Consider the following 20,039-nt stretch of genomic DNA (forward strand, 5'->3'; position numbering starts at 1 on the left):
CAGAGTTTTTAAAATTAGGAGCTCTGATTTTTCTCAGCCATAAAGGTGACAGAGTATCCTGATTAAGTGGCACACTGGAAGAATTATTAATTTCTTATGCCTGCTAATAATATCAGGTTTTAATTAGTTTTCTAAACTTGCTAGATTAAAACATGCTTTTCTTTTAGAGTATTTTAGCTGCTCTTCATATCTGCTTGAAAAAAGACACTATTTTGACTACTAAGCCTTTCCTTTTCCCATTTTTGCTATTTTTGAATATTCTTTATTTTACTTATTTATTTTTGCAGCTCCTCTTTGCAGGTACCCTCAAACCTGGATCAGTACATTCCAGATATTTGTATAGGGTTTCCCAAGAAATAGATGGACAGGTAATAGCCAGACCTCTGCATTTGGTTGCACAGAGCACCTGCCTTAACTCCCAGAGAAGTCTTACAGAAAAGACAAACATCTGTATCTCTTGCTTATAGAATTCAGTTCAGTCTGAATTTGCTGACACTTAATGGGGAACGCAGGCTGCGTTGCTAATGGGTTTCCCAGATAGTTAAATCTGAAAGCTAACTTGATGATGGGTCAGATCTCTTTGAAAAGGTCCTTGAAAATTTTTGGATCTTTGCAAGATCTGTTAACCCATAGCCACACAGAATCTTTAATTTGCGCATTCTTGGCTTTGACTAATGTCATTTCATGTTCAGCTATCCTATGACTGGAATAAAATGATTTGGTACTTTTTTTCGATAGTTGTTCTGTGTGATAAGACTTGTCTTAAATATTTAGCTCGTTGGAAGTTTGTATAAATCATTGCTGGAATTAAGGAAGTAATTTGAAGGAGCATTGCTATATAGGCTTATCAGCAATTACAAATAAAATTATAGTGAATAAAAGAGGTTTCAAAGATGTAATACTAAAGAATGTCTGCACTGTTATCAAGGAATTAAATTTTACTAGAACAAGTCATTAAGGTAAAATTTTACTAGTAATAAATTTCCCAAGTATTACTAATTTTCTGAAAACAGTGGAATTAAGAATATATTTTTTTCAAAGCAGTCAGGAAGAAAATTGTTTATATAATATAAAACCCATTGTGCTTTTGTCTGGCTACTACTAGTTCATATATTGTACACATTTCTCATATATATGTACAGCATCTATCAAAAAATTCATCTTAAACTTGCTTTTGAGTACTTGGATTTGTTTCAAATTCTTACATATTTGTTAATAATTCCAGAGAAAGAAGGTCCAGAAAAGAAGAAGACAAAAAAGGAAGCTGGAAATAAGAAATCCACACCAGTTAGCATTCTTTTTGGTTATCCACTCTCTGAGCGAAAACAGATGGCACTTCTTATGCAGATGACAGCAAGAGACAACAGTCCAGGTGATACCTACCATCATTGAGTTAATGTGTATCCCTAGTTTTCCTCAGGCAACTGTAGTCTCGTCTTAACAATTATTTTAACTACTTTTAATTTTTATTCTTTCTTGGATTTAATCAGAATTACTTGTAAGTCAGTGGTAATTTTATGATTATTTGTGTGACAGTTTATCATCTGTATCCTCTGCTAAAGTAGAAGCTATACAAGAGTAGGGCTCTTTACACCATGTGTAATCCATGTTTTATTAAGATCTAAATTTTTTTATAAGGAAAAATGTCAGCAGTATATTAACAGTCATTTTATATTTCATGTCACATTTCCAGCTAAGGTGTTGTGCCACATGTATGTATGTTTATTTATATACTGTGTTCTCCAAAAATAATTGATGATGACTTACCAGCAGGACAAAAACAAAAAGGGAACAAACCAAACAACATGGTAATTTATAAAAGGGAGCTAAAAAGGTAGATAAAATCCAGGCAACTGGCCTGAGATAGTTATTACTATTCACATCCTGGCAGCTAAAAGTACAAAAGAAAATTTTTGAGTTACATAGTTCTCATTGACTGATTCAAGAAAGTAAATCACTTTTGTCTGGAGAAAATTTCTTTTGGCCCTGAATTCAAAGCAATTTTATGTAAGACTCTGGGTTACGTAACAGTCCATGTTGAAATGCATTGAAAAAGATAATTTTTCAGTGAGTTTTTCCTGTATTGCCTCTTTTTAAAAAACGGGATGACATGGTTAAATTCTTAAGAGTTTCTAAATATTATAATTTCAAAGCATGAGCGTATCTAATATCTGTCACTGCTAAAAAAATGTTTTAGGGCTTCCTGCTTTTAAAAATAGAGTACGTTGTGGTTACTCACTCCTACCTTTTCCACCTCCAACATGGGAAAGTCTGTGACCAAATTAAAGTCATTTTGCCATGTAAAAACTTTGACTGTTTCTGTAAAATTTTGACTTTGACTTTAAGTCTGATTTAATATTTTAAATGGAAAGACATTTATTAAAACTGATTTTTTAAAATAGCGTGAACCTTTGTCCTTAAAGTAAATTAAAAGACCAACAGACAAAAAGTAAAAGTCTTTCATCTCCAATCACCTCCCCTCAAGAGGTGACCACTGTTAACAGTTTCTTATCTTTATTTATGTAGCTTTTCTAGGCATAAACTTACAAATACGTATCTTTTGTTATGGGTTAATTTTTTTTTCTTTTTTAGTATAAATAGGAGTACACTATAATACTGTTCTGCAGTTGGTCTTTTTAAGGGTGATTCTTAGTCAACTCTCTATTAATATGTATAGAATTAGAATGGAAAACTTTTGAAATATCAAGCAGTTTGCCATCATACAGATATACTTGGAGTTTGTGGTTGTTTTATTCATTAGATAAGTCTTTAGATTTTAAGAAATTCAGCAAGCAAATTCTCTTCACAAATAATTTGACTATAAGGATTACATTAAAATTTATTCATTCAACAAATATTTCTTGAATACCGCTGTGGTATATGAGAAGTCTTCTAAGCAGTGATGAGTAAGATAGATAAGGCCCTTTTCTTTGGGAGTGTAAATTTCTAGAAAAACTTCTGTAGGAAACTATTACCGAGACAATGTACTTTAAAATCCAAAAGGTAGGGCCGGGCATGGTAGCTCGAGCCTGTAATCCCAGCACTTTGGGAGGCTGAGGCAGGCAGATCACTTGAGGCCAGGAGTTTGAGACCAGCCTGGCCAACATGGTGAAACCCTGTCTCTACTAAAAAATACAAAAATCAGCCGGGCATGGTGGCACACGCCCGTAATCCAGCCACTCGGGAGGCTGAGGTGGAAGAATTTCATTTCTTGAACCCGGGAGGTAGAGGTTGCAGTGAGCCTAGATCAAACTACCACGCTCCAGCCTGGGCAACAGAGTGAGACTCTGTCTCAAAAAAAAAAAAAATCCAAAAGATGAACCTTACACTTTTTTTTTTTATTGAGGAAAGGATGGTATTGCCTTAGAGCTCTAATCGTGTCAGGTTTTAAACTGGTAAAAATTATTTTCCATATATTTCTTTTCTCTTAGAGCAGTTCCTTTTATATAGTTGTAAATTTTCAGAATTAATTAACACTGTATATATGTCTTGAATCCTTAATTAAGAAACCAGTTTTTGTTTTTTTGTAGTTTTGAAATTGGAGAGGAGACTTTGGGCATCATCTAATTTAACTTTTTTTTTTTAAATATAGAAACTAGAACAAATATCAAAATATGAGAATCAAGGCAAAGCAGTTTTTAAAGGCCCTTTTCCAGACTACCCTTATTTTTTGTAGCTCTTCTCTTTCATTTTCATAGTAAAATCGTTATGACCTTGATTTGCACATAATATAAGAACAGAAGAACTCCAATGCTTTGTCTGAGTCAGAAGTGTGGACTCCAGCCTTCAATTTCACTTCCTCTAGGTCTTAGAATAATAGCATAACATACCTAGGAAAAATGTTTCATAGTTCATCACATCATTCATTAAGGAAACATTTTAGAGTACGTATTTGATACTTTATCATTTTAAACCAATTTTATGAATTGACAAAACATTTTTTTTAATTGGCTAATGATATTTGATAACCCTGAAGGGAAGATCTCTGTGTATTTGGGTCATTAACGGATCATCCAAGTCAAGGTTTAGGTTGTTAGGGTGAGAAGGCATTCCTTGTGTTTCAGGAGATTAGCATATTACCAATAAAAACATTTAAATAAGTATACAGAATATTTAGCCTAGAACTTCTGCTAACTTTCTTCTTTCTTACAGATTCCACACCAAATCATCCATCACAAACAACGCCTGCCCAAAAGAAAACTCCCAGTTCTTCATCTCGACAGAAAGATAAAGTTAATAAAAGAAATGAACGTGGTGAAACTCCTTTACACATGGCTGCTATTCGAGGAGATGTGAAACAAGTTAAAGAATTAATAAGTTTAGGGGCAAATGTGAATGTGAAAGATTTTGCAGGTAAGACTAGTAATTCAATACCTACTATTCAGGCACTAAAATTTAAACAGATCCTGGTTACAATTTAATCTACATTCTTTTATTCATTTTGCTGAAATGAAAGAGTTCTAAAAATACTCTTTATTACAAAACTTTTGGAGTTCGTACATAAAACCCCTGATTTCTACTACAATTCCATGTCAATAATTACTCATATTTTTATATACTAAACTTATACTTTAGTTGACATATTACTTGCTGTATAGTTCTTTATCCAAGTTAGGTTTTGCCCTAGATGAATTTGAGTTATATGTTTTCAAAGTAGTTGATTCATTCATAAGTATTTTAAGAACATTTATTAACTTGAACCATGAGGACTGTAAGAGTGTGGTGTTATTACTTTCATTTTCATTATTCAAGTAGCATACCAGTACATTCTTGCTGTAAATAATTCAACAGTAAAAGTATGTAGGGAACAATTCAAAAATTTTCTTTAATTTCACATACTGCACAACCCTACCCTCCCTCCCACACAGGTTCTTTCTCTTCCATAGAACTATGGTTAACGCTTAGGAGGTTACTCATTCAGTTCATTTTTATTATATATGTATAAAGCAAATACTTACTTATATATTGGCTTTTTAAAGTGAAATCATTCCATCTGTATCAATCTGTAGTTCTGCAACCTGCCTTAATGTCTTACAGATATTTCTATATATTCTTACAGTATATATAGGTAGGCCTACTCCATTAATTTTTAATAGCTGCATAATATTTTCTGGTATAGCATTCCGTAGGCAACACTGTAGTAAATACCTATATAGAAACATCTTTGTGTATATTTATGGAAGTATTTCAGTAGAAGTGAAATTGCTAAATCAATGGAGATACATGTTTTAGATTTTTGAAATAATGGAAATTGCCCCCCCCAAAATTCTGTATCAATTCATACTACCATCAAGAGTATATAAAAGAGCCATTTTCCTCATATCTTCAGTAAAACTGGATATTATCAACTTTTAATTATTAACAATCTGAAGAATGAAAAAAATCTTAATTTGGATTTTCATGATCAGTAGTGATGGTAAACATTTCTTATGTTTATTATAAACTTATGTGTATTTTATGAATTGTTAGATCCACTCCTTTGCTCATTTTCTTTTGGTTTAGTCCTGTTTTTAATCTACAAGAGCCTTTATTTAGTCTAGATTTTCTCTATCAAATATGTAAAGATTTTCACAGTCTGTGGCTTAGGTTGAATACACTCTCATTACAGTGTTTATTGTACTACAGTTTTCATCTTTTATGTATCATATCAATTGAGCTTTATGGGTTCTTGGTTTGGTATTTTATTTAAGAAGGCCTTGTCTTTCTCTGTATCATAAAACTATTCCTATATTTTCTGTTTTTCAAATTTGGTTTCTGTTTTGTTTTTACATGTAGCCCTATTATAATACACCTGGAATTTATGTCTTTATTTGCTGTGAGTGGGGAATGGTGTGATATACAGTATCTACCTTAAAGAGTGAGACTTAAAATGCATGGCATTTATTCTAGAGGAAAACTTGACATTATTTATCAGAAACCTAAAAAATATTTCTTTCATCTGACAATTCCACTCTCAAGGATTTATTTTAAATAGTTAATCATGGATGTACATGAAGATTTAGTTGTAAGGATACTTGTTACAGCATTGTTTCTAATTAAAAACTAGCAACAATCTGTATCCTTAGTAATAGGAACTCGTTGAAGGAAATTATGGTATATTTGATTAGTACAATACTATGTTGTAGAAAAGTATAATGACATAGGGAATTATTTTCACTTTAGTAAGTAGAGGAAGCAGGTTGTTATTCATCTAAGTTTTATAAATATGTGGGAGAGCTAGTAGATATTATGTTGGATTCTTCAAATTATTATTTCTGGGTGGTGAGATTATGGACAGTGTTTATTTTCTTTGTATTTTTAAGTTATCTAATATTTCTTTTGTGAACATGTAACTTTTTAATTACAAAAGTAATTAAGTTTATTTTAGTTAAAATAAGTATTAAGTCCAGAAAATATTGTATCAACAGAATAAAGCCCTTAAGACATCAGGATTTTTGTTTACTGAAAGACTCTAATCAAGCTTACTAATATTTTGCCTCTTTAAAATTCTTTTTCATAGTTTAAATGATTATTAAAAATTATATCAAGCTTATATTTATTGGAAAGCTTAAATATTTAATACTTTTGTCAAATAATTTAGCACAGTGGAAATACTGTTGACCCTTGAACTGTGTAGGTCTACTTATATGTGGATTTTTTTCAGTAAATATATTTGAAATTTTTTTTGAGATTTGGAACAATTTGGAAAAACTCATAGATGAACTGCATAGCCTAGAAATAGTGAAAATAGGAAAAAATTAAATACATTATAAGTGCATAAAAGATACCTACATACTAGTCTGTTCTATCACTTACTACCATAAAATATACACAAATCTGTTCTAAAAAGTTAAAACATATGCATACAGACATAGGCTATACATAGCACCATTCAGAATCAGGAGAAATGTAAACAAACATAAAGATGCAGTATTAAATCATAGCTGCATAAAATTTACTGTAGTACATATTATACTCCTGTAATAATTGCATAGCTACCTCCTGTTACCATTGTGGTGAGCTCAAATATTGGGACTATCTGCTTAAAACACCATGTGACTGACACAAATCATCTCCACATAAGCAGTTCGTCTCTCCAGTAAGTTGCATGCCACAGTGAAATGTGTGATTCTTGCATATTTTTCATCGTGTTTAGTAGAATACTGTAAGCCTTGAATAATACCAGGGGACCCATTTTAAGTGCTCCTAGTGATACTAGAAGTGCTCCTAAGAAACAGAAGAGTTACGACATTAAAAGAAAAAATTGAATTGCTTGATAATGTACTATAAATTGAGGTCTGCAGCTGTGGTTACCTGCCATTTGAAGATGAACGAATCCAGCATAAGGACCAGTGGAAAAAAGGAAAGGAAATTTGTGAAGCCATTGATGGAGCTATGCTAGTGGGTTTGAAAACGTTGCACTTTTTTGTAAAACATTCTTTTATCTCATGCAGCTTTTATGCGAATGCAAGATTGCTATAAAAAAGGCGTACCTATAGATTAGATTGAAGAAAACATGAAGTCATTATACAACAATTTTAAGGAAGATCAGGGATCTAAAGCTGGGGAATTTAACGCCAGCAAAGGATGGTTTAATAATTTTAGAACAAGGTTTCGTTTAAAAAAATGTCAAGATAACAGGAGAAGTGGCTTCAGTCCACTGATAGGCAGCAAATAAATTCCCAGATACCATTAAGAAAATCAGTGAGGAAAAAAGAAAATCTGCCTGAACAGTTTTTTAATGTGGACAAAAGTACCCTATTCTGGGAAAAAGAAAAATCCACAAAGGACATTTATTAGTAAGGAAGAGAAGCAAGCACCAAGATTTAGGGCAGGAAGGGATTAGCTAACTCTCCTGTTTTATGTAAATACAGTTGGGTTTATGATCAGGACTGCCCCCTGAACCCTGAAGGGAAAAGGTAAACCCAGCTGCCAGTCTTTTGGTTGTATAACAAGAAGGCCTGGACAATGAGAACTCTTTTCTGGATTGATGTCATCAATTTCTTCCTGAAGTCAGGAAGTACTTTGCCAGGAAGGAGGCTGTCTTTTAGTGTCCTCTGGCCTCCCAGAACCAATTGATTTCGACACCAAAGGCATTAAAGTGGTGTACAAACATGGTGTTTCTAAACCAGCCTCTAATTAGAGGGTCATAAGGAACTTTAAAGCTCATTACACACGGTACTCCAGGGAAAGGATTGTCAACGCTGTAGAAGAGAACTCCGATAGAATGTCATGAAAGTCTGGAAGGATTACACCATTGAAGATGCTGTCATTGTTAAAGAAAAAGCTGTGAAAGCTCTCTCCTCCTGGAGAAAACTGTGTCCAGATGTTGTCATGACGTCACAGGATTTACCACAGAACCAGTCAAGGAAATCATGAAAGAGATTGTGGATATGTCAAAAAAGGTAGCGGGTGAAAAGTTTCAAAATATGGATCTTGGAGAAATTGAGGAGCTAGTAGATACCACATCAGAGGTATTAATAGGTGACTTGATGGAGTTGAATGCTTCCAAAACAGTTTCAAGTGATGAGGAAGAAGACAGAAGAAGCCATGCCAGAAAACAGATTGACCTTAGAGGGTTCCAATAATTTAAGGCTGCTTTTACTTTTTTTTTTTTTTTTTAAACACCAATCCTTGTATGATCCAGGCACTGAAACTAAAGCAAACAGTGGAAGAAGGAGGGTGGCACTGTATTAAAACATTTTTAGAGAAATGAAAAAGCAAAAAAGTGAGACACAAATTTACAATGTATTTTTGTGAAGTTACACCAAATATGCCTGCCTCTCCCACCTTTACTTTTACCTCTTCTCCCTCTGCCACCTCTGAGACAGCAAGACCAACCCCTTCTCCCTTCTCTTCAGCCTACTCACCGTGAAGATGATGATGACCTTTTTGATGATCCACTTCTACTTAATGAATAATAGATTTTTCTTACGATTTTGTTAAATAACAATTTTTCTCTAGCTTTATTGTAAGAGTACAGTATATAATACATACACAAAGTATGTGTTAGTCAAACTGTTCATGTTACTGGTAAGGCTTCCAGTTAACAGTAGGCTATTAGTAAAGTTTTGGGGAGTCAAAAGTTATATGTGGATTTTTGACTGCATGGGGGTTAACACCCCTAACCTTCACCTTGTTCAAGGGTCAACTGTAATATTATCTTGAATGAACCTTCAGTAAATTGATATTGTTCTTATTTATTTTTAGTAGCTTCTTCATCACTCCTTTTTTTTTGCACGATGTGCAGTTTTAGAATTTATATGTCACACATTGGTATGTATATGAAAAGCATATATTTTGAAGTAGCGCAAGTGAATCATGTTAAATTAATAATCTAACTTTAGGTTGGACACCACTGCATGAAGCTTGCAATGTTGGATATTACGATGTTGCTAAGATACTTATAGCAGCTGGAGCAGATGTTAACACACAAGGATTAGATGATGACACTCCACTCCATGATTCTGCTAGTAGTGGGCACAGAGATGTAAGTATGATAGAAAAAAATCAATAATACACATTTGCAAAATATAAATTCAACCCAAAGTAATTTCATTCACTTCTTAGTCATATGATCTGTGTCATATTCCACTCATTGCTTGAACAACTCATCTATATTTTGTTTTCCCTTTTTTCTACTAAGTATTAGTTCATAGTCAGATTTAGCATTTTCTTTTCATAAAACCCTTTTAATTTGACAGTTGATTAAATAATTTGGCAAAATTTTTATTTCAAGGCATTCTTTATAAGACAATTGGATGTGTTAAAGCAGTCTTTATATATAGTAAAAATTGTACAGTGTTGAATTGCCTATCTTTTGAAGGGCATTTTACTTTAGTTGAGACAAAAATAGAATTTGGAGTAAAGATAGATACAAGTGCAGTTCTGGCCTGGCCAGTTTACTAGCTGTGTAATCTTGAACAGGTTACTTCCCTCCTCGGAACCTCCGTTTCCTCATCTTTAAATTATATGATAAATAATACCTATCTAAAATTGATATTTCAAAGGAAAAAAAGACACTACATGTAAATGCACATTGAAATTTAAGATGGTCTAGAAGTATCAGGGGTAAAAGATTAAAAAGCTGCCTTTGTGGGTGCAGTCAAATACACCTAAAATTCAGAAATTAAAAATGCTATTTTTCTCAATTACATTTCTATAAGGCATTTTTCCATGTTTCTCAGCAAAGAAGTCTTATTTTGAATGAAGAAAAATGTAGCCTATAATTTTTTAAAACTGATTCTTGCCTACCAGTGGTCTACTCTTTTCTCTGTGCTCCTTTGGCAATTTGTACAAACCTATATCATAGCATTTTACTACCTTATTTTTTACTGATATTCTTGTCTAGTGTCATGTTTCCTGCACTAGACTGCAAGTACTACCATGCATACTGGCATTTTATGTTGTTTTCTGTTATTTACTCTGGAACTGCTTGTCACCTAGAAATGTTCAGTATATCCATCATGGATGCACTTGTAGATAGATGGATAGGTAGATGAATGGATAACTGACTGAGGATAGGCAGAATGACAAAAACTTAATCCATCAGGCCTGACAACATGTAGGGTACATTGCCCTTTCCTTTGAATTTATCGGAAACTGACTTACTTTCTGGCTTTGATATTTTAAATAGTGCCCTTTTAAAAAATATTATTGATAGTTTACCAAGAATGAATGATTTTCCTTTGAATATGATAATAAAGGTTTCCCGATTTCTAAGTGTAATTTTAAAGAATTATGCCTGTGACTAAGACATGGTTTCTGTGAACACAAGTTTCTAAATATGCACATAGCTGCAGAATATTTCCAGAAGCTGACCTTTTGAGCTCATGTACTTACAAGGACTCACACTATTTCCAGTCTCTTCCCAGAGGGAGGGACCTTTGCTTTTCCTCCTACCAACATGCCTAGGATAGTAGGAGTCACCATTGAAGAGCTATTGAGAGCTATTTTCTCCTTGTTCCTTTTACTTGTGCGTTAGGAGGAAGAATGAGAGCCACCAAAAATTCATTTCTGTATATCCCTAATGTGTATTCTGAGCCACTCCCAAATAATTAGATTTCTTTCTTTCAGTAATAGTCATGACAACTTCAGCCATCCATAAAGCATTTTTTTAAGATGGGAAAAGCAGAAATATAACGGTTCTGTAGCCAGATCTAAATTATTATAGAGAGGATTAACATAGCTTACTAAGAACCTAATTTTTGACTTGTTTGTAAATGTATAGTAATTCCTAAAACACTTCTTTTTTCTTTTTTTTTTTTTCTTTTTTTTGAGACAGCATCTTGCTGTATCACCCACACTAGAGTGTAGTGGTGCAATCACAGATTACTGCAGCCTCAACCTCGTGGGCTCAAGTGATCCTCCTGCTTTAGCTTCCCAAGTAGCTGGACTACAGGCACGCACACCATGCTAGGCTAATTTTTAATTTTTTTTGTAGAGACCCTGTGTTGTTCAGGCTGGTCTTGAACTCATGAGCTCAAGCGATCCTCCTGCCTCAGGCTCCCAAAGCGTTGGGATTATGGGCATTAGCCACCGGTGGCACCTCACCATAATACACATTTTAATACTAGCCTTATTTCTAGTTCTATTTTAGATACGTATCATCTTTTGTCATCATTTTTACCTACTTCTAATTTATTGACTGTTATGTTTTAAGCAACTTTAAGAACAATTATTTGCATTTGAGGATGAGCTGTAAAATCTTGATTATTTGATTTAGGGTGTTTGTAATATGTGAATGAACCAGCTGTACCTGATTCTGTATAGTCATGTAATAAGTATTTATTGATGTATTCCTGATGGGGATAGAAAGCTTTCAGCAATATCAAAATTCTTTATTCTGTTTTCTCATTCTAGGGCTCTAGTCTAAGGAAATAAGCCTAAAATTGGAAAAATTTCAGCTCATAAAGATATCCACTACAGTATTATTTATAATGACTAGAAGATTTTTATTTCAGTTACTTTCTCAAATCCCTAAAATGACAGTAAGGGGCAGTTTCAAAGGATAGACCCACAAGGGCAAAGAACAGAAGAAACAAATATTTTGGAAGATAGAAATTGGAGAAATGAGCAGTTACTGATGTAGAACAGGGTTTGACAATTTTTTTCAATAAAGGGCCAAATAGTAAATATTTTAGGCTTTGCAGGCCACATACTCCCTCCTTCACCTCCTCTTGCCTCCTCCCTCTCCTCTTCTCCTTCAACAGTCCTTTAAAAATATAAAAACTATTCTTAGCTGGCAGACCAGGTTGGCCCGTAGGTCATAATTTGCCCACCTCTGATTTAAAAGAGACAAGAAAATTGAAACCAGAGCCATACAACACAGAATCCTAGAAAGAAAAGAAAAAAAAAAAAAAGCTTAGGAATCGATAGTACCAATGACCTCTGGAAGTGCTTCTTAAGATATGGAAACGACTATTAGATCAAAGGTTTTTTAGCTCTCACATCCTCTCCCCAGTCTTACACAGCCCAGTAATTGCTCCTCTCTCACCCTGGGTAGATTACTGGAATATGGAGATAAGTATCAGGGACAACTGTTCTTCACCAGCAGACTTGGAAACCTAGTTGATCTTTTAAAATCGTAAGCATGTGTAATTTGATAAAAATTAAACAGTTAATAGTTGGTATCATGAGTAAGTTGTTTTCTTTATACATTATTACATTTCAGATTTTCTGCAGTAATCTAGAAAAGTTTTTTTCTTTATTCATTGTGAATCATTCTTAAATAATTTGTTACAAATTTCTAATTTCAGCATCTTGTTTTAAATTGTTCCTTTGATGGTAAATGCAGTTAATATTCATCTGTTTCATGTTATTCATTTAAGTATTTTTTAAGGTGTGATATGTTTTCTAAGTACCAGAAAACACCATAGTTATGTCCTCGAAATACAGAGATGAATAGAGACTTGATTTTATATGAAGCTTATAGTCCAAGGGGGGAAATGTGTTAATGAATGTGGTATAGGCTTATGTATGATAGAACACACCAGTGTTAATGGAAATGCACAAAATATCAAAACAAGAAGAGATGGTAAGGAGGCAGAATCAATAACACCTGGCTGCCTCTTTGATGTGTGTGAGTGAAAAAGAATTAACGATGACTCCCAAATTCTGGCTTCAAGGCTTCAGTGACTGGGAAAATTTTGGTGCCAGTTACTGAGAATGGAAATAGATAAAAGATAATAGTACAGGTTTAGTGAACTCCATTTGGGTCCTGTTGGTTTTATGCTTTTGTATTAAAATACACATAGAATCAGTTGGATGTGTCCAGTGAGTATTTGAATGTTTGGGTTTGGAGCTCAAAAGGGCTGAGAGAGAAAGCAGACAAGAGAATGAATGGATGGATCGCATAATTGTCATCACATTCAGAGTGGATAAGTTCTCCAAAGAGATGATATATATTAGAACATGAGAGAGTATATCAAGGACAGAGTCATAGGGAAACCATCATTGGTTTAGATCTTTTCAGGTCTTAAAAGGGCCATTCCATAAGATTGATGGTAGCAGAGTTGTAGGTGAAAGAGTGAAGGGCCAATAAGTAACAGCTGCAAGGGCAGATGTCTTTTCAGGAGATGGACAGTGAAGAAGAAAGGTTAGCTAGGGTAGGACGATATAGGTTTCAGCAAAGTTTCCTTGTTTTGTCCGTGTTTCATTTCTTTAATACCATTATTTTTTTAAGGTGCAAGAAATATGAACTGTGGAAAGATTGGCTTCTAAAAAGGAGCCAACCAAAAAGAGGTTAAAACTATGAAAGGAAGAGGATATGAAGAAAAAACAAGTAATAACTAACAGAGCAGAACCTGGTTATGTGGAACTTGAAGCTTACGTAATTCGTTAGAGAAGGAGAGAAGGCCTTTCAAAGTGATGACTACAACATTAGATACAGCATCCTTCTGTAAAGGACCCATGAAAGTGAAGGGTCTTGAAGTTTAAGCTTTGGAGTTAATGATACTTAAAATTCCTGGGCTATGGGAAATGGAGTAAGATTAAGAGCATTGACAGTGATATTAGCCTAAAGCAGAAGGGAAATACTTCTTTGAAACTTTTTCTAAGACACACATTTCAAGAGGCCAGGGAACTTGTTATTCTTGTTCATGGGTTTATTAGCAGAACTCGGAAGTGTAGATATTATAGGTTCTCAATAAATATTTGACTTTATGATGGAACAGGATGAAAAAATGATGAGATTAATTGCTAAAATAACCCAGTTTAAATTTTAAGGAGGAAATTTTTTTGTAGTAGTTGAGGTTATCAGATAGGGGAGTGTCAGTGAAAATGGATCTTGAAGAGAATAACGATTTAGAGTAGATGGTGAGGAATGGATGCAGAGTAAATGAGGTAACACTCAGAAGGATACTATGAGTATTATCAAGAGAATGGGTGCAGTGATAACAATCTGTGAAGGGACTAAGTCTTCCTGCTTTTTATTGTTGCAGATAGTAAAGCTGTTACTTCGTCACGGTGGAAATCCATTTCAAGCTAATAAACATGGGGAGCGTCCAGTGGATGTAGCAGAAACAGAGGAGTTGGAGTTGCTACTAAAAAGAGAGGTGCCTTTATCTGATGATGATGAAAGTTACACAGGTTTGTTTCAGATAATCTACATTCATCTGTTCGTTTGACATGATATTTGATAGAACATTCTGGATTCATTTGTAATATACAAAATGTTTGAATACTTTAGAATAATGCTGGCTAGCTAGAATAATGCTTAGCTAACTAGCTAAGAATGATGAAGTTAGTAACCTAGGTGTTTGCTACATATACCCTGTGTGAATGAAGTCATAATGCCATTGCCCCATTTCTGTTTTCTATAAATTGCTGAACTATTCATTATTACTTTTAAGCCTGCTGCAGAACCTCTCCCCATGCAGAGCTACCACCACTGCTACTCTGACTTCTTTTCATTCTATTATAAATTACAGAGCTACTAACCAAACACTTCATGTCTTTTTCCGGTGTCCTGGTGTTAACGAGTCATCTCTGTGATTTTACTTTTGTGATTTAGATGGTTGAATTCTGATCATTGTTGCAGGGAAGGACAATTTCTTTCTTTTTTTTTTTTTTAAACACAATTTTTTTTTAAAGATAACAAAAAAACATTTACTGTGTTGAAGAAAGTCGTCTTTATATAAAAGGGGTTTACCATATTTCAGGCAAAATTCAGTGAAAAAGAGTTTCATCAGTTTTACAAATGGCTGTTTCCTCGTAAAATCTTAAAGAATTCCTATAAGCAATTAGGTAATGCTACTTTTATATTACACATGAGGGAATAAAAACCATACTTCACTCATTTAATGTCAGCCATTGCCAGAAGGCAATGGATCATTTATAGTTTTGAGGCAGAAAGTTCTACCCTTTATTTTCATGTAATATAGTTAAATTATATTTCACATGGAAAGGCAATTGAAAGAACACACCTTCTGAATATAACATTTTACTTGTTGAACAAAAATTGTAAATATACTCCAACTGATTAAGAGATGCTGCCAAATTATAAACAAAAGAAAATGAAGTCATGGAATAAAAACTTTTGGCAGTGAGCACTGATTACAGACAAGATGATTAAATAACTGTGGTAAATATTGTCAAATTGAATGTAAATATCAGATCATACTTGAAAAGGGAAAAATGAAAAAATTTAATTATCTGAAATTTAAATACAAAATTAAAACCAACAACAACATTTGAGAGGTGATAATAAAAGTATAGTAAACTCAGGGTTGGGCGTGGTGGCTCACACCTGTAATCCCAGCGCTTTGGGAGGCCAATGTGGGCCAGATCACTTGAGGCCGAGAGTTCAAGACCAGCCTGGCCAACATGGTGAAACCCCACCTCTCTCTCTTTTTTTTTTTTGAGGTGGAGTCTCGCTCTGTCGCCCTGGCTGGAGTGCAGTGGCGTGATCTCGGCTCACTGCAAGCTCCGCCTCCCGGGTTCATGCCATTCTCCTGCCTCAGCCTCCCCCGAGTAGCTGGGACTACAGGCGCATGCCACCATGCCGGCTAATATTGTTTTTTACCCCGTCTCTATGAAAAATACAAAAAAAAACCCAAAACCAAAAAAAATGCTTTTGAAGACAAAGTAAGAATTTCAGTATTGACGTTAGACAAAGAATTGAAGTCAGGAAATAGTGCATGACAAAAGATAATTTTGTGGTAATAAAAGCATATGAACAAAGCAAAGATAAAAGTGTATTGCCTTCTTAATTAAATGTAGCTTTTGTTGTGGGGAAAAAAAATAAGAAAAGTATACTGCCTTAAACACTAGATAACACTGTCAAAATATATAAAGCAAAAGTTGTTAGAAATACAAGATAAAATTAACCAGAAACAGAATACTGAATACTAGTTGGAAACTTTAAGTTTTTTCAGCACATGCAGTTTCTTATTAAGTAGAAAGTCTCAGTTGTAGACATTGTATACGTAACCATTAGTACTTACGTGACGAGACCAGAGTTGTTCTGTGTTCAGTAAAAGTTCATAGTTATCTTCATTAAACTAGGTAAGAATGAAAATAAGTGAACTTAAGAAATCAAGAAGAGAAAGTAAAAGCAGATCCACAGAGAAAAGCAAGATAATAATGACTGGAAAGCACGTTTTCTAAGTATTATATAAAGAAACAAATGTCCTAATATTTCTAGACAATATAGCAGAATGAAACCAGGAGTTGCTTTTCTGACAAGATTAACTAGAACATCTAGCAAATCTAATTAAGGAAAAGTGAGTGGAAATCCATAAACATCACTGATGAGTAAGAAAATGGATAGAACCACAAAAGTTATAAAATTTTTTTCAGACTTTAACAGAATACTGTATATAGATCTTACCAAAAAAAAATTAAAAATGATAAACACAGAGCAGACAGAAACACAGACTGAAAGAGGGATATGAAAGGAGAAAGATTGGAAGACAGAGAGAGGGGTAGGTGCAGGCACACTCAGGTTGCCATACTGTTAAAATGGTCTAATGGTATAAAAGTAGAAACAGCTGCGGCTTTTTTTTTTAAGCCAGCAAAATCTTGATACTTTGAGAAGGGAAGACTATAACTAGAAAACTGCAGAACAGTCTTCAGTTTAACACAGTAATTAACATACAGAAGTGCTTGAATAAAAACTGCCCGATAAAATTGGTAAACATTTTTAAAATAATAGTATTTGGATGTTGGTGAGCTTGGAGTGAAGCTGGCACCATACACTGTTGTTGAGAGTGCTTTCTGGAAAACAATTTGTTAATAAGTGTGAAAAATTAAAAAAGATATAACTAGAAGTGCTGCAGAGATATAACCAGAAGTGCTGACTATATATATGTGTGTAAAGCTGTTAACATATTAGTGCTTATAATACTGAAAATTTAGAATGACTTAAATGCCCCCAAAATGGGCAGAGAAATAATTTTTAAAGTTTATGTATCTTGTGTAGCCATTGTGTTTGTACATTTTTCTAATGATATGGTTAAGTATCTTCTATATACGGTATATACCAAAAGATAAGATAATCTACATTTTCCTCCAGTAAGAATTAAAAAATTAAAAAGTCTTGTGGGCTGGGCATGGTGGCATGTGCCTGCAATTCCAGCTATTCCAGGAGCTGAACCCAGGAGTTTGAGACTAGCCTGGGCATTAGAGCAAGCTCCTGCCTCCAAAAAAAACACCTCTTCAGTAATTAAGAGAGACAACAGATGGAAATAAAGATTTTTAAAAAGACAAAAGGCTTGTGAACTATTTGAATAAATAAACAATATAGGGATAGAATAGTCATCTATTTAAAGTATTAATTTGGCCAGGCACAGTGACTTATGCCTGTAATCCCAGCACTTTTGGGAAGTCGAGGCGGACAGATCACTTGAGCCCAGGAGTTCGAGACCAGCCTGGGCAACATGGTGAAACCCCATCTCTACAAAAAATACAAAAATTAGCCAGGCATGGTGGCGTGCGTCTGTAGTACCAGCTACTTGGGAGGCTGAGGTGGGAGAATGTCTTGAGCCCAGGAGGCGGAGGTTGCAAGGAGCTGAGGTCGTGCCACTGCATTCCAGCCTGGCTGACAGAGCCAGACTATCTTTAAAAAAAAAAAAAAAAAGTATTCAAATATATACATTTGAGATAACATACGTATTAATGTAGAAATACTAATTTTTCCCCCTACTCTGTCCTGAAATGATTTTGTAAACACTGTTCTCTTATTTTGACATCAATGTTTTCGTCATCACCAGAACCACCTTTTAGCCACTAATGATCTTCCATCTTAAATTCTCTGTCCACAACCTTAGATCCTCAATACTTTCGAAATCCAAATATGATTCCATAGGAAAATTTATCCCAAATTACCCACTTACAATTTGTGCTTTTTATAACATAACCACTTACAGTACTTTTTTAAAAATCCCCATACATTATTATGAAAATATTCAAACATGTAGCAAAGCTCAAAGAATTGTATAATGAACATCCTGTACCCACTAACTACATTTAACAGCTGTTAATCTTTTGCTCTGTTTCCTTTATTACACTATCACATATCTATCCATCAATCCATATTATTTTTTGATATGTTTTATAAGTTGAAGACATTCCTAAGTACTTAAGCATGCATTTCATTAGAGTTTAAATTTTTTTGCAATATTCATGGTTGTGATGTAATTCTTAAATATAATGTATATATGAGATATATGAGTTTTTGAAATGCCTCCACCTGTATAATCCAACACCATCAAGATACAGAATATTTCCAAGGCCGGGCACGGTGGCTCACGCCTGTAATCCCAGGACTCTGGGAGGCTGAGGTGGGTGGATCACCTGAGGTCAGGAGTTCAAGACTAGCCTGGGCAACATGATGAAACCCCATCTCTATTAAAGGTACAAAAACTTAGCTGGGCGTGGTGGTGCGTGCCTGTAGTCCCAGCTACTCAGGAGGCTGAGGCAGGAGAATCACTTAAACCTGGGAGGCAGAAGTTGCAGTAAGCTGAGTTCGCACCATTACACTCCAGCCTGGGCAACAAGAGTGATGCTCTGTCTCAAAAAAAGAAAAAAAAATTTCCCATCACTCCTGAAAGTTCCTTGATGCCCCTTCCTAGTCAGTTCCTGCCCCTCCCACTGATCATTTTATACCCATCATGATAAACATGATTAGACAATAATGACTAATGGCTGATAAACTTGGGGGGGTGGATTTTTACTGAGAAGCAGGGTTTTTACATACCCTTTTCACATCAGAAAGGGTGGGTGGAGGAAAAACAAACCAGTGATTATATGGTAGAGAAATCCAGCAGCACCTAGACTGTGTGAACTCCATTTACATCATCAAAGGAAGGAGATATGGCCATATCTGCCTCCAGATGTGATACCTAAAAGGGATATAACATCACTTTTTTAGTATTACAGCTGAGAATGCATCATCATGAGAAATGCTCTTTTTTAAAAAAAATAAAGCCAGTTTTGTGTCATGAAAGATTAAGAAATGGGAATTTTCGTAAGAAACCAATAAAGGCAGTAGAAATATGCCAGATTATCCGCAGAGATGGTAATTAAAGGCAATACCTGCTCCTAGACTGGATCCTGTACTGGAGGGGAAAAATGATTATAAAGGACGTTATTAGATCATTTAACAAGGAAATGGACAGTAGATTGGTGTCATATCAGTGTAAATTTATGAAGTTGATTACTGTGGTGACAGAAGAGAATATTCTTGTGTCTTAGGAAATACTAAAATATATATGGTTTAGGGCCATGATGCATTTAATTTACACTCATATACTTTAGAAAAAGATATGTAATATATATACATATATATAGAAAGAGAACAAGTTATAAAGCAAGGAGGTAAAACATTAACTGGATAAATCTGGGTTACAGATATATAGTGTTCAGTATTTATTTCTCTAACTTCTTGTGAGTGTGAAATTATTTCTGAATTAAATTATACAAATAACTAAAAGGAATGACTAAAATAGCAGTTATCATTCCCACCTTCCAGGTTATGATCTTAAAATGTTTTCTACAAAAAGAAAACCAAGATTTCATAGAAGAAGATGATTCCAGGTCTGGGGCAGGAAATGTTTGAG

The 20,039-nt window shown here is 34.3% G+C and overlaps 1 protein-coding gene across 21 annotated transcripts in view; it reads left to right on the forward strand.

Annotated features, from left to right (window-relative positions):
- Window positions 1-20,039, forward strand: part of ANKRD12 (ankyrin repeat domain 12) — a 149,205-nt gene that overhangs the window by 70,651 nt on the left and 58,515 nt on the right. For 12 of the 21 annotated variants that reach the window (XM_005258093.5, XM_017025663.3, NM_015208.5 and 9 more), the window contains 4 exons: window positions 1,226-1,372; window positions 4,153-4,353; window positions 9,327-9,469; window positions 14,421-14,568. In XM_005258093.5, coding sequence (XP_005258150.1) covers window positions 1,226-1,372; window positions 4,153-4,353; window positions 9,327-9,469; window positions 14,421-14,568 — 639 coding nt within the window. Of the gene's footprint in view, window positions 1-1,225; window positions 1,373-4,152; window positions 4,354-9,326; window positions 9,470-14,420; window positions 14,569-20,039 lie in introns of those variants that run through there. The other 9 variants (XM_017025661.3, XM_017025664.3, XM_005258095.4 and 6 more) reach the window with 2 other exon arrangements.

Source organism: Homo sapiens, chromosome 18 (assembly GCF_000001405.40).
Source record: "Homo sapiens chromosome 18, GRCh38.p14 Primary Assembly".
In the NCBI taxonomy this organism is placed as follows: domain Eukaryota; kingdom Metazoa; phylum Chordata; class Mammalia; order Primates; family Hominidae; genus Homo; species Homo sapiens.